Source organism: Homo sapiens, chromosome 12 (assembly GCF_000001405.40).
Source record: "Homo sapiens chromosome 12, GRCh38.p14 Primary Assembly".
Lineage (NCBI taxonomy): Eukaryota > Metazoa > Chordata > Mammalia > Primates > Hominidae > Homo > Homo sapiens.
The window spans coordinates 38,766,322-38,782,190 of NC_000012.12; the positions used below are offsets into that span (position 1 = coordinate 38,766,322).

At 33.2% G+C, this 15,869-nt stretch overlaps 1 protein-coding gene across 7 annotated transcripts in view; it reads right to left on the reverse strand.

The window, feature by feature from the left end:
• Positions 1-15,869, reverse strand: part of CPNE8 (copine 8) — a 254,633-nt gene that overhangs the window by 114,119 nt on the left and 124,645 nt on the right. For all 7 annotated transcript variants that reach the window (XR_245896.5, XR_007063052.1, XM_017018852.2 and 4 more), the window contains exons 7-8: positions 9,917-9,980; positions 1,314-1,417 (exon numbers count right to left, since the gene is read on the reverse strand). Coding sequence is in view for 5 of the 7 variants with exons in the window: in NM_153634.3 (NP_705898.1) it covers positions 1,314-1,417; positions 9,917-9,980 (168 nt within the window). In the remaining 2 variants the exon portion in view is untranslated. The remainder of the gene's footprint in view (positions 1-1,313; positions 1,418-9,916; positions 9,981-15,869) is intronic.

The window sequence follows — 15,869 nt, forward strand, 5'->3', positions numbered from 1 at the left end:
ATTTTCATTCAAGAAATTCAGAATCATTCTTGAGGTTTTCCTCTATTTTCGAAATGCCTGGCAAATATTATTTTCTTCACTCTGCAACATTTTTCTTATGAATAAAATTAGTGTTCAGATGCTATGACACTGACATTTTTACCATCAAAAAGAAGGGAAATACACAAAATCTAATAGTATAACACTATAGCAAATATATCCAACAGTTGCTCAGTAGCTGCATCAACAAACATCTCCCAATAAGTAGACCATCATTTTAAACTGGCCAGTGCATTCACTGTGAATAGCAAACTGTCTATATTATGCAACATTTGATACTTATTATATAACAACATATTGTATAGTTTCATATATAAGTGCAGCATTTTTTCCCATTCTATTCCCCTCATTTTTAATTTCCAAATAACATGTTCTCTTTAGCTGATATATTACACATAGTTAAAAAAACAAAAAAGAAAATATTAACTATACATAATAATAATATTAGCTAATGTTTAAGTTCTTCTTATGTGTTGGACAAACTTAGTAATTTTTTGTATAGTAACTAATTTAATCTGATCAACAACCCTGTGAGGTAGCTATGATTACTACCCCATTTTACAGGTGAGGAGAAAACGGAATCTCACATACATTAAAAACTTGCCATAGTACTATAGCTATTAAGTAGCAAGGTTATTATTTAAATCTAGACAACAGAAATTAGCCATATTATTAACAACTAAACATTCTCACAAATACTAATAGTACAATATGAATCACAAAAAACAAGTCAGATATATTTAATAGCAGAGCCATACATATTAAATTATGGTCTATAACTCATAAGGACATATTCAAAATTTATAGAAACTAGTCTAATCATAACTGGCAAAAGTATTCAAATTACTAGAATATAATGAACATTTTTACTGAAAGTTAGTCTCAGATATTATTGGCAAAAAAAACCCACAAGCTCCATATCCTTCTCTAAGAAAATGGTTTTGGTTCAAATCTGTAACAAAATATATTTGTTTCAGCATTCAGGTTTTCACAAAATATAATTCTTCTAAACTATTAACTCAATGTTATAATTGTATAACAAATAAAGAGGAAATATTTCTATGAAACTAGAAATTTTTCATTTTAAGTATCAGACAAAACATAAAATGTTTATAAAGTTGCACAATATTTTGAGATGCAAAAATCATATCAATTTTTAAAATCTCAAACTATTTTACTTCATTTATCAATTTAATGAGCTTCTCTGAGAAAAATAATTATAATTCAAGTATCATCATTACCATATAGTTGAAATGCATAAAAGATAAATCTACCTGCCATCTTCATTACTTCGATAAAATACAAGGAAAGGATCTGATTTTCCAAAGAAGTCCTTCTTGTCCAATTTGTTCGCACAAAATTGCATCAAAACGGCATCCTAAAAACAAAATTAATAAAACAGTTCAAGATTTGGGCTATAAATAACTAGAAACTGCAGATCAGAAACAAGACTTGACAAGAAAACATATTTGCTATTTTAATGCAAATGGCCAAGTTTGGGAGAATCCCAGACAACATAAAATTGCTTTTTAAAGGGTTATATGACTTTAAAAATTTTGCTGGTAATTTTCATTCTAATTACAAAACTATTACTTTTCAAAAACTTTTAACATTTTTCCTTTGAAAAGTGATATTAAGCTAGGTGATGCCAGGTACTCAATTTTATAATATAGGATCCTCATTCATATCTTCAGTTATACAGGTACACATTTTTAGAACATAGTTAAAAAAATTCCTGTTCATTAAGGAAATATTTACTAAATTTTTACTACATATCTAGTATGTATAAAATGTTGAGATGTACTAGATGATTAGATGGGGAATAAGAAAGATAAACATTGACCACATAGTTTATAATCTGGAGACAGAAAAGTTCCTACTTTCTTAATCATATACAAGTGTAGTATAATGAATCAGTAACTACATTTAAAAACAATTTTCTTCTGTAACTGAAATTACAATTTGCATGTTAATTATTATGTCAAATCGATCATTTAAACCAATTTATGTACTCAAACACTCGCAGCTACATGATTTAAAGGAAAACAAGCTAGGGTATCATAACACATTATTGATAACCATTTTTAAAGTAGAAAATGTATTGTTATTTAAAATCAAAATAAATAGTTTTGTGGGGTTTTGTGTGTATGTGTGTTGTTTTTGTTTTTGTTTCTGTTTGAGACGGAGTCTTGCTCTGTCACCAGGCTGGAGTGCAGTGGCATGATCTCGGCTCACTGCAAGCTCCATCTCCTGGGTTCTCCCCATTCTCCTGCCTCAGCATCCTGAGTAGCTGGGACTACAGGCACACGCTGCCACGCCCGGCTAATTTTTTTGTATTTTTTTTTTTTAGCAGAGACGGGGTTTCACCGTGTTAGCCATGATGGTCTCTATCTCCTGACCTCGTGATCCGCCTGCCTCAGCCTCCCGAAGAGCTGGGATTACAGGCTTGTGTGTTTTTTAACTGAACAGGAAAGCTTAAAATGTTGGAAAGAGGTGAAGTGGCAAAGTAACTCAGATTAAACAAAGAGGTTACAATTTTGAATATTATGTGATAAAATGTTAACAATGTCTGAAAAAGCATTCCCTTATTCATCACTTCTTTATCTTACAGAGTCCAGCAATACTTACTAAGTATACACCTAAACTTTTAATTATTTCCTTTCAGTAATTCCAGAAGACTACACAAAACATGATGCTACCTTTATCATTCATTCATTCACTCATTTTCTTACTTAGCAAACATTTAGCAAGCAATAGTCAAGCTAGAATCTTGGAATAGGGTAATGAACAAGGCAGTATCTACCCTTGGAAAGGTCAGATTTCTTAATTTCACATTTTCAAAAGTATTGGTATAGTATTATTTGATTTTACTTGTAGCATGTAGCTGTGATAACTTCTATCAGAGGAACATTTATAACAGAGCAGGAAATACATTCTAGCAACGTATAGTGACAATAGAGGTAAGGACAATATGGACATCACTATCACCTCAAACCTCTCAAGCATATCATGTTCTTTTTAAATTAGAGGTTTAAAGATCAAAAAGTTCTATACTATCTATTATAGAAGTAGTGAAATAATCATTCTGGATGATCAAATTATAAAATCAAAGGCAGCATTGAAAAGGCGAGCTGTTTGGTTTAGTTTGTTTATTTTGAATGCCCCTTCATTTCCATATATATTTAAATGCCCTTGGGAGAGAATGGCTTTCTAAGAACATGGGGACATTCCAAGGACATTGTTCTTGCAGAAAAACATTACACTTTAACACATTTCTCCCAAAGCACCTGGACCAAAATATAAACTTCCAAGAAACATTCTGTATACTTACAATGCATAATAGATAAATGAAATGTGTTTATTTCAAATAGATTGTGAATAAAACATCAGAGGTGTATTATTATAAAAGCATGAATTTTCATAGGCTCACTGGTAAATGTAATACTAAATTTAATTTTTCAAATTATATCCCTTAGGGCTTGCAAAATGAATAACTGATTCAAAATAAAGATTTATTTCAATGAAGAAAATTATATAACCTTAGGAAAAATAATGTTCTTGCAATTACTCAGGTTAACAACTTAGCAGGGATTAAATGGTACATTTGTATTAAGCACAAAATACATCTTGTTTGAGAGGAAAAGTATTTATATACTTTTAGAAATACACTAGCATCACTGCAAAGTTTTGTTTTGTTTTGCTTTGTTTTTATGCCTTATGCTTAATGTCACCTAATACATTTTTTAAGACCTCTCTTTAATACTCCACATATAAGGACCATTCTATTGCATAAAGCCACTTGGATGTTTCACAGGCACTTCTAACATATTCCAATCTGAACATCTAACGTCTATCCATAAACTTGCTTCTCCTATAATTTTCCCAGCTCAGTTAGTGGCATTGTCATTCACTCAAGTGCCCAAAGAAGCCATCCTTGACTCTTCTATTTTCCTGATCCTTTATCCAGTCCACCACCAGTTGCATCATTTACCTCTAAAATTTTGCTCAAATCTTTACTTTGGCTCTGCTGCCACCACCTCAGTCCAGTTCAATCTTATTTCTCACCCAGACATGTTCATTGACATTTATTCCTTACTCCCACTTCGACTCTTTGATGTATCCAATCCATTCTCCATTCAGCAGACAGAATAAAAGTCTTGAAACATGAAAAATTCATGTTGCTCACAACTTAAAATGCTTTAAGGCTTTCCCTTGCATTTAGGAAAAATGCAGAACCTTTAACATGGTCCGCAAAGGCCAACATCTAATGGGTTCTGACCAGCCTTTTCCACCTTCAACTGGCAATGTTTTAGCTCAATCAACTCCCACTGCTCACCCCTGGCCATCTCACATCGGACCCACACATGCCTTTCCCACCTCAGGACCTTATACAGCTGTGTCTGCTGGAATTCTTATCCTTGGGCTGGCAAACACTACTCCTTCTTTAGGTCTTAGCTTAAATGTCACTTTCTCAAAGAGGCCCAGTGATTCCCCCAAGGCTTAATATAAATTAGATCCCTGCTGTACTCTCATAATATATTTGAATCACTTGTCACATATCATGACATATATTACCTGCATAGTCAGCCGACTAATGTCTCTCTTTCCCACAAACTATGTGTTCATTAAAAACAAGGACCAGGTTTGGGGGTTGTGGTGTTGTGTTTTGTACTGTTTTTTTCTTGCCATTCTATTCTAAGCATTCATTCCAAGGACATAATAACATTTTGTAAACACTGTTCAATCAATCAATAAATAAAAACAAAAAATATACTTTATGAAAAATTTCAAGCTACTTTTAAAATACTACATAAAAGGCCAGGCATAGCGGCTCATGACTGTAACCCCAGCGCTTTGGGAGGGCAAGGGGGGCTTGGATCACTTGAGTCTGGGAGTTCAAGACCAGCCTGGACAACACAGTGAGACCACATCTCTATCAAAAAAAAAAAAAAAAATTAGCCAGGTGTGGCGGTGCCTGCCTATGTTCCCAGCTAGGAGGGAGACTGAGGTGGGAGAATCACTTGAGCCCAGGAGCTCAAAGCCTGCAGTTAGCCAAAATTGTGCCACTGCACTTCAGCCTGGGCAATAGAGTGAGACCCCGTATTTAAAAAAAAAATACTGATTGAAGATACACTCCCAACATAATTTCTAAACTACATTAGTTTTTACTGTGGCATTTAATTAAATATAAAATTTGCATTTGAATAAAACTGTATCAAAATAAGTTGAGATAATTAGGATTATTACACTACAAATAAATATTTGTATAAATTTATGACCTATACATCCCTTAAATGCTACCATTTCTTTCCTATAGAGTATCCATCTAAAGGAAGAATTAATAATATTCCCATTTTTAGAAGAAAACATAGAGCCTTGTGATATTGGCCTTGGATATTATTTCTTGGATATGATACAAAAGCATAGGCCACAAAAGCAAAAATACACGTGGGACTGCATCAAACTACAAAGCTTCTGCTCAGCAAAGGAAACAATCAACAGAATGAAAAGGCAACCTACAGAATGGGAGAAAATATGCTGTGGTTGCTATGACTTGTTTGTCCCTACCAAAGCTCATATCGAAATTTGATCACCAGTGTGACAGTGCTGGGAGGTGGGGCCCCATGGAAGGTGTTTGGGTTATGGGTGTGAATCCCTCATAAATAGGTAGGTGCTGCTTTCACAGTCTTGAATGAGACTGGATTAATTCTCTCAGAATGAGTTCATTCTATTAAGAGTGGGTTTTTATAAAGCTAGGGTGCCCCTCAGGTGTCCCTATGTTCACAAATGTCTGCTTCCACTTTCACTTTCTCTGCCACAATGTGAAACAGTATGAAAGCCCTTACCACAAGCCAGTACCATGCTCTTGAGCTTCTCAGCTGGTAGAAGAGTGAGCTAAATAAACTTCTTTTTAAAAATAAGTTACCTACTCTCAGATATTCTTTTATTGCAACACAAAATGGACTAAGATACTGTATACTATAAAGGTTAATTTCCAAAATATATAAGGAACTCCTACAAATCTTCAAAAATACTGCAAAAACTAAAAATAAATAAAAATAAAAAATAGAAAATCAACCCAATTTAAAAATGGGCTAAGAACCTGAATAAGCATATCTCTAAGGACATACAAATGACCAACACACATATGAAAGGTGCTCAACATCACCAATCATCAGAGAAATGCAAATCCATACAAAAGATTAGCTCACGCCTGTTAGAATGCCTACTATCAAAAAACAAACGCAAAAGGAAGCAGTGTCAGTGAGGATGTAGAGAAAAGGAAACCCTTGTACACTGTTGCTAGGAATGCAAATTAGTGCAGCCACTGTGGAAAATAGTAGGAGGTTCCTCAAAAATTAAAAGCAGCACTACTGTATGATCCAGCAATCCCACTTCTGGGTATATATCCAAAGAAAGAGACTGAAATCAGTATCTTGAAGAGATATCTGAACTCCCATGTTTATTCTAGCATTATACACAAATAAGTCAAGATATTGAAGCAAATGAAGTGTCCATCAACAGATGAATAGATACAGAAAATGTTTTATATATATATAAAATTTATACACACACACACACACATATATATGTAAAACAATGGAATATTATTCAGCCTTAAAAAGGAAGAACATCCATCCATTTGCAACAAGATAGATGAGCCTGGAAGACACTATATAAGTGAAATAAGACAGCCATAAAAAGATAAATACTACATATTGTAACTTACATGAGGATTCTAAAATAGTCAAAATTATAGAAGCAGGGAGTAGAATGATGGTTTCCCGGGATTGAGGGGAAGAAGAAACTGGAAGGTATTATCAAGGAGCACAAAATTTCAGTTATGTAAGATGAATAAGTCATAGAGATCTACTATATACAGTATAGTACCTATGGTTAACAATACTGCACTGTATATTTAAAAATCTGCTGAAAGGGTAAATCTTATGCTGTTTATTATCACAAAAATATTAATAATAAATAAGCAGGGTAGGGGGAACCATTGTAAGTGACTAATATATGACATTGATTGTGGTGATGGTTTCATGGGTATATACCTGTCTCCAGACTCATCATGATGTATACATTAAATATGTCCAGTTATTTGTATGCCAATTATACCTAATAAACTGGTTTAAAAAAATTGTCATTTTACAAATGCATAACTTAAAGCTTCAACAATATAACCTCACTCGGCTAAATAGTGAAAAAGGTAAGACTAAAATGTAGGTGAGCTGACTCTAAAGCTTATGTTCATTGTACAAGTTAATAACTGACAACTCGTTTTAAAGAAAAATGTAGATTTTTATGATGTTGTAGGTGAATTAAAATGATTGCATTCAACATTATAAATAATAATGCCCAATACTTTTAATGTTCCCTAAAGTATAAATTTAAAAAGCATTGATTCTTCTGAAGTAACTATGAACATTTCTTTGAGTACACTTGTGCATTCTACTATACTAATGTAGTAATGAAATACTATTTCAAGTTTATTAGTATTAATAATGATGCTGATGATCAATAAGGCTATAGCCAGGAATCAGGACATAGAAAACATAAGATGAAGTTACACCAAGATTTTAAACAATATTGATAAAAATATTAAACTATAATTTCTAAGTATGAGAAATATGTATTGACTCATTGAAAGATAATTCCAGATGTTATTGAATTAATTGTAAAAAGAGGGATAAAAATACCTAGACCACTAAATGACACATTCCCTTTCATTTACTAAGGCCTGGTAAAAGAATTTTCCCGGCTCTTCCAACAAGAGAGTAGAACTGAAAGTGGAAGATATTTAGGATGCAGCCTGTCCATACTCAACCTGTGTCTTGGTATCTTGGCTCTACTTTGAAATAGAACAGATAGTACTGTATTCATGACACATTTACATAAAATCTGCTCAATAAACTCAAGATTTTGACAAAATAGCATGTTAATATCACCAAAAAGAACATGTATCTTATTGACTGTGAACTTCCTTTTTTCTTTCCTCCTTTATCATACAAAACATATATTATTTGAAACATTTACAAATTGAGACAAGTATAAATGATGATTAGATGATAATATAATTTAAAAAATCATTGTATCATTTTAACTAAAAAAATAGGATAGGTAATATCGCTGCATTTAAATAATTATGCTATATTTTCTAAGGCACTGGGTAGTATATGCAAACTACTTTTATGTACATTATAGTATCAAACTTAATGTTATGGTAGTTAATTGCCAGGACTGGAAGATTTTTTTTTTAAATAGTCTAGTGATTAGTTCACATTTTTTGGTTTATTGCCCTTCAAATACGAAAAGTAAAACACAGAGTAAGTAGTCAAGTGTCTTGATTAGACAAAGTACAAATTAGTAGCAAAACCAAAACTTGAGTCTGATAGTCTTTAACAGCATTATATGTGGGCATGTTGGGGTATTTTTTAGATGAGAAAAGTGAGACTGATATGACCGTGACATGCCCAGGGGGACAAAGACAATGAGCACAACAACAGAAAGGCTTCAATTTACATGTTTTTTAAATGACTTAAATTATAATATTAGTGTTTAACTATTTCCACTCATCTGTTATTATAGTTCCTATTGTTATCTCACTGTTCTACTCCTGCCCCCAGAATCCCAAAGGTATGTAATCAGCTGTAATACCCAGTTTCTATCATTTGCTGACAATATCATATGATTCCCTGAGCATATTATCTCAACTATCTATCTATCTATCTATTGATCATCTATCTATATTTGAGAGATATAATATATACATATATTTGAGACAAGGTCTTGCTCTGTTGCCCAGGCTGGAGTGCAGTGGCACAATAGCTCACGGCAGCCTTGAATTCCTGGGCTCAAGTGATCCTCCCACCTTGGCCTCCCAAAGGCTGAGATTACAGGCATGAGCCACCATGTCCCACCAGAAATGTATTATGTAAATAAAGCTACAGAATTTATCTAAAAGTTAAAAAGACAACTTTTTGAGATAATAAAATAAACTATGGCTCTCTCTATAAAAACTCTGGTCAATGTCAAAATGTTAAGCTTTTGGTATTTGGGGTGAGTTTCTGTTCCTACAATCAAGCAGCAACTAAAAGTAAAGAGCACTAGAGGTAATCTAGGGAAAATTTTTTTCCTCTGGAAATACCAATTCCCAGAGATCTGCTGGCCCACATTAAACAGACAATATTGACTTCAGATTAAGCTGGTCATTGTTACTTTCAGTCTGGAGTGTCATAGCTATCACCCCATTTCTTGACAACAGTGAAATCATTAATCATGAGTCAATGGGTGCATCAGCAAATCACAACTGAAAGTAGCAATGTTCTAAAAATACAGAGTATGCACTCTCTGTAGTCATACTGCTAGCTGTAGTGGCAGCTAATCCTTTCTTCAAATGTGGACTTCCCAAGCTAACAAGAGATGGAACCAATATAAATTCTGGATTAATTAAATTAGAAAAATTGGGGAAAATATCTTATACAAATGGGGTAAACTCAAATGACAAGAAATATTCCTTCAGGATTACACACAGATCTTCAAAAATACTGCAAAAAAGTTTGCAGTAATTGAACTGATTGGTATAACTGACTATTCCTTATACTAATGCTTAAAAAGCAGTATTGATATTAGGTGTTATTTTAATACTTTCAATTCCTTAAAAAGATTATTAAAATAACTAATTATACTTTTCAGACTATGAAATACAGTCTCTCTGGTCATAGGGCTAAGTACCTAAAATGATATTTTATGGGTTATAAAATTGTATAACACTTTTGCTACAATTACTTAAAAATTAATTAGTTAAGTACAATTTTAGATATAGCATTTGAAGTATGGAAGTATTTTCTAAACCAAAGAAATATTTACTTACCCTGCAACAGTTTAATTCCTCTGCTGTAAGTATGATTGTACCACATTTCTTCCCTGGAATTCCTCTAAAACAACAAAAATATATTTATATACATTAATATGTTATATTAATACTATATAATATAAATTTATATATCATGTTTATTTTTATGTACTCTAATAAAGAGCATATAATAATAACATGGTTCTTCCCTAACAAATATATTTTGAGTAGCTGGGATTACAGGCCCAGCTAAATTTTGTATGTTTTTTTAGCAGAGATGGGGTTTCGCCATGTTGGCCAAGCTGGTCTCAAACTCCTGACCTCCAGTGATCCGCTCCCCTCGGCCTCCCAAAGTGCCGGTATTACAGGCATGAGCTACCACACCCGGCCCTCAATGAGACTAAACTTTCAACATAACTTTAAACATGTCGATCCTCTCCTCAAGAATCTTCAATATCTCCATATTGTCTAATATATAATAAAATATAAGATAATGTAATAGTTATGCATCATCTAATTATGTTTCAGTAAGAAACAGATTGCATATACATTGGTGGCCCCATAACATTATAATGGAGCTGAAAACTTTCTACTGCCTAATGATGTAATATCTTAGCACAGAGCATTACTCATGTGTTGGTGTAATGCTGAGGCAAACAAATCTACTGTGCTGCCAGTCATACAAAGTATGTATGTACAGTCCATAATACTTGACAATGATAGTAAACATCAAATATGTTACTGTTTATGTATTTTCTATACTATACTTTTTATCATTATTTCAAAGTGTATTTCTTCTACACATACCAAAAAAAAAAAAACAAAGCTAACTGTAAAAACAGCCTCATTTAGGTCCTGCAGATGTTCCAAAAGAAGGCACTGTTATCACAGGAGACAACAGCTCCATGCATGGTACTGCCCCTGAAGGTTTTCCAGTGGGACAAGATGTGGAGGTGGAAGACAGGGATACTGAGGATCCTGACCCTGTGTAGGCCTAGGTAAATGTATAACTTTGTGTCTTAGTTTTTAACAAAAAAAAGTTTAAAAAGTAAAAATAAATAAATAACTTAAAAACAGAAAAAAGATTACTGAATAAGGATATAAAGAAAGGAAATATTTTTGTACAGCTGTGCAATGTGTTTGTGTTCTAGATAAGTGTTATTATTAAAACATTTTAAAAAGTTTAAAATATTTTAAAGTAAAAACATTATAGTAAGTTAAGGTTAATTTATTATTGAAGAAAGAAAAATAGTTTTAAATAAATTTAGTGTAGCCTAACTATACAGTGTTTATAAAGCCTACAGTAGTATAATGTCTCAGGGCCTCACATTCACTCACCACTCACTTAGACTCACCCAGAGCAACTTCCATTCCTGTAAGCTTCATTCATGGTAAGTACCCTACACAGGTATACCATTTTATATGTTTACTTATGTTTAGATACACAAATACTGATGTTACAATTACCTGTTCAGTGAGGTAACATGCTGTACACATTTGTAGCCTAGGAACAAGAGGTTATACCATATAGCCTAGGTATGTAGTAGGCTAGACCAGGGGTCTGCAACCCCAGGGCTGCAGAGCACGAGATGAGTGGCAGGCACCAGCAAGCTGAGCCTCATCTGTTTTCACAGCAGCTCCCCATCGCTGGCATTACTACCTGAGCTCTGCCTCTTGTCAGATCAGCAGCAGCATTAGATTCTCATAGGAACGTGAACCCTATTGTGAACTGAGAGGGACCTAAGTTGCATATGCTTCTTATGAGAATCTAATGCCTGATGATCTGTCATGGTCTCCCATCACCCCCACATGGGACCATCTACTTGCAGGAAAACAAGCTCAGGGGTCCCACTGATTCTACATGACATTGAGTTGTATAATTATTTCATTATAATATAATAATAATAGAAATAAAGTGTACAATAAATGTAATGCACTTGAATCATCCCGAAACTACCCCCAAACCCCCAGTGCATGGAAAAATGATCTTCCACAAAACCGCTCCTTGGTACCAAAAAGGTTGGGGACTTCTGGGTTAGACCATCTAGGTTTGTGTAAGTACAGCCTATGGTGGTTTCACAACAATGAAATCACCTAAGGAAGCATGTCTCGGGACATATCACTGTTGCTAAGTAGTGCATGACTATAGAACAAAATGTTCTCATGGTTTCTAAGTTTTTTAGTATGTTATTAAAACCTATCTAAAACTATGGGTTTCACTGTTCCCTCTCCTTTCATCAACTCGGTGACATTTTGTGCTTATTTCTTCTTTGTGTTCACTCCCATGCCTTGATAAACTATAGCTTGTTAACTGTTCCCTATTTCGCCTCAAACTTTCCATATCCCCAAATTGGATATGGAACAAGTTCCATTTGTTCCAAGAAAACCTTATCCTAGGCAGCCTTACACAAAGCTCAGCCTTTTCTGCTTTCCTATTGATGTTAAAGTCAATACTGCAAGGTTTAGCACTTAATTATTCCTTAACTGTTAAAAGGACAAATTGTTAACCTTTCTTTTCTCAAGTTGATTATGCTTTCTGTAAGAGCAATATTCACGACATAAACCTCTTGTAAGCACAGAGTTAAATGTCTGTATACAGCAGGTGTTTAGTTTATAGGTAAGTATGTAATATACAGTCATGCATTGCTTAATTCTTGTTTCCACCATGTATTTACTCTTAACCAGGGTCATTGCACATGTCAAGATCTTCCATCTTCCCTAGGTCCTTATGACTAAGAACTCAATATAGCATGGCACATTTTGTCTTATATTACTACATTATCGTTTTCAGCATCCTTCCAGCATCCTTAATCAGTTAATTTTTCTAATTCAGCTGTACCTTTCTCTTCTTCTTTCTATTTGTGAACTATGAGTTTAATATATTCAGCATTATGGAAAACCAAACACCCTGACTGAGCATCAACCTGAACACACTTTACAATGCTGAATAAAATATGCAAAGATCTTTATAAATGCTCAGATAACATTGCAAGAAAATAAGGACCAATCAGAAGCTTAAAGTGAAGTCAGAAAGATAAGCAGAACTGAACACTGGAGAACTTGATCTTAGGCTTCTGATTTTTATGGTTACTTAGGGCACAAAAATTAGAGAGAAAATCAAGAGGAGGTGGGACTCACAAGGTGGGAAATTCAATAAACAGCCAACCCACAGCATAAAGCTTATATCTCATTAACTAGATTGCCTGATTGTAGCATGAGTTATATATAAACATTCACTTTATGAGCCTAAAAAATAAATCGCTGCCTTAAAAGGTGGAGATGAGTGAAAGAGAAAAAAATGTATCCTAATAATTTAAGGCTCAACCAGGCTTGCTGTCTTAATTGACATCACTTGAGTAGTTACCAAAACTTCAAACCAAGAATTACATTTAATTCAAGTGATCATGGTTGCCTGGTATATGCAAATCCTCTCCAGAAAAGTTTCCCTTCAAATTACATCTCAAAATATCTCACATTTAAAGTTTTAAAAGTAAATGTGAAGCTCGTTTTATAATATTAAAAAATAAACAAGGAAAAATGCACCCACCATGAGTTAGACTCTCCAAAACAACAGGTTGCAGAATCAAACACAGATTTAGAATGTTGTAAATATTATGAATAGTATACAAAATATAAGCATTTATAATATATTTAAAATGTAAAGAGGAAATGGACATATGGATAACTAGCAAAGGATTATAAAAAATAAGCAAGAATATTTGGAACAGAATAGGGAGCCCAGAAGTAAATCCAAGCTGTCATTGCCAGTGCCAATGTCCAGGCACTTTTCCTCTATTTTCTCTTCCAGGAGTTTCATTGTTTCTGGTCTTATGTTTAGGTCTTTTACCCATTTTGAGCTGATTTCTGTGTATGGTGTAAAGTAAGGGTCCAATTTAATTCTTTTGCATGTGGAAGTCTAGTTTTCTCGGCACCATTTATTAAAGGGACTATCTGCTCCCCATCCTGTCCTCCTGGTTCCCTTGTAAAAAATCAGTTGACTATATATGTTTGGATTAGACAAAGGTGAAGAGAGAATTAGTGAACTGAAAGAAGGATATAAATAAATTATCCATAATGCAGCATGGAGAAGCAGACATGGGAACTATTATGAAGAGGTTTGGAGTCACAGAACACAAATGTAAAAGGTCTAATAATATGTTTAATCAGAGTTCCAGTAGAAGAAGGAATAAATAGAGCAGATGCAATGTTTGAAGAGATAATGGCTGGGAAACTTCTAGAAATGGTGAACCACCTCAATTTCTAGATTCAGAAAGCTCAGTGAATCCCAAGCAGCATAATAAAAATAGATTTACACTTGGGCACATGATAGGAGCATGGAAAAACGTGAGAGATGAAGAATATATCTCCAGAGGAACCAGACAGAAAAGACAGATGATCGACAAAGATATGATCTACAAAGATTAAACTAAGAGCTGACTACTTGGAAGCAACACTGGAAACTGAAAGATAATTGAAACAATATCTTCAGTGGTATGAAAGAAAATAATTATAAATATAAGATTGTAAACAGTAAAGATCTATTCTAAAAACAAGCATAAACTATAGATACTTTGAAACAAATAAGAAATAATGCATTTATATTCAAGAATCTTTGCTTGAGAAGTTTCTAAAGAATGGGTTTCAAACTGAAGGAAATGATCACAGATGGGAGATCTAAGATGAAAAAAGAAAGAAGGAGAGAAGCCAAGGAAATACTAAATACGAGTTAATCTTAAATCAGTGACACTAATGTTAAAAACTAAAATAACAAATACAAATGAATATGATAGCATTAATCAGCAAGGTGATAATTTAAGTTAAAGCCTTCTCATGGTCTCTTACTGTTCAGGAAGAAATTAAATATGCTGAAAAAATAGAATTTCATAAAAAATGAGTAAATATGTTTAAAAACTTCAAAGAAACTACAATTATTTAAGTACTTTATAGTTTCAAGTTTAGAAAAGAAAATTTTTGAAATTATGTTTCTAAAATGCAATCAGTTCAAAAGGAACTAAGACTAAAGAAAGAATGGGGCAGATGAGGATCACTAAGTAGGTAGTAGAAATAAACCTAGAGGAATAGTTACTGATGTAAATGTAAATGAACTAAATGCTCCAGATTAAATGCAAATATTGTATGTAATTATATAAAAATTAAATTCAGCCATGAACTATTTAAAATAGATAACAAAATTTGATTCAAAAAATTCAAAAGAAAAGAATGGAAAGATATCTCAGAAAATAAAACTAATTCTATTGAAAATCAGTACACCTACATTAATAGCATACATACAGATTTTAAATTGAAAAGGGTTGCAAGAAATAGTTATTGTGTAATGACAAAACATTCAATTAATTGGGAAGATATAGTAACCTCAATACTGCATGCATCTACTATTATAGCTCCAAAATACATAAAGCAAAATTGACACAACTACAAAAAGATAAATACACCATTATGTTGAACAATTTCATGGTAAACACCCTTGGCAAGGTGATCAAGGTTAATATCACCAGTGATAAGTCATATTAATATGTATTCCTGATAAGATGTAAGGAGAAAGACACTTCACTCCTGTGGCCTTCTACCCAAATCCTTAACTCCAATCTAACCATGAGAAAAACATCACACAAATGCAAATTTAGGGACATTCTACAAAAAATCTAATACTTCCTCAAAACTATCAAGGTCATACAAAACAAGGAAAGACTAAGAAATTGTAACATATCAGATCAAAAGAAAGTGTACATCCTGAAATGAATTCTGAATGAATTCTGGTATAAAAAGAACATTAGTGAAAAATGAGTGAAATTCAAGTAAAGTTTGAAATTTAGCTAATAGTAATATATGTACCACTGTTGTCTTTCTAGTTGTGACAAATGTATTAAATACCATGGTAACACAAGATGTTAATGTTAGAAGAAACTGGTGTGACAGGAATACAGGAATTTTCTGTACTATTGTAACTTTT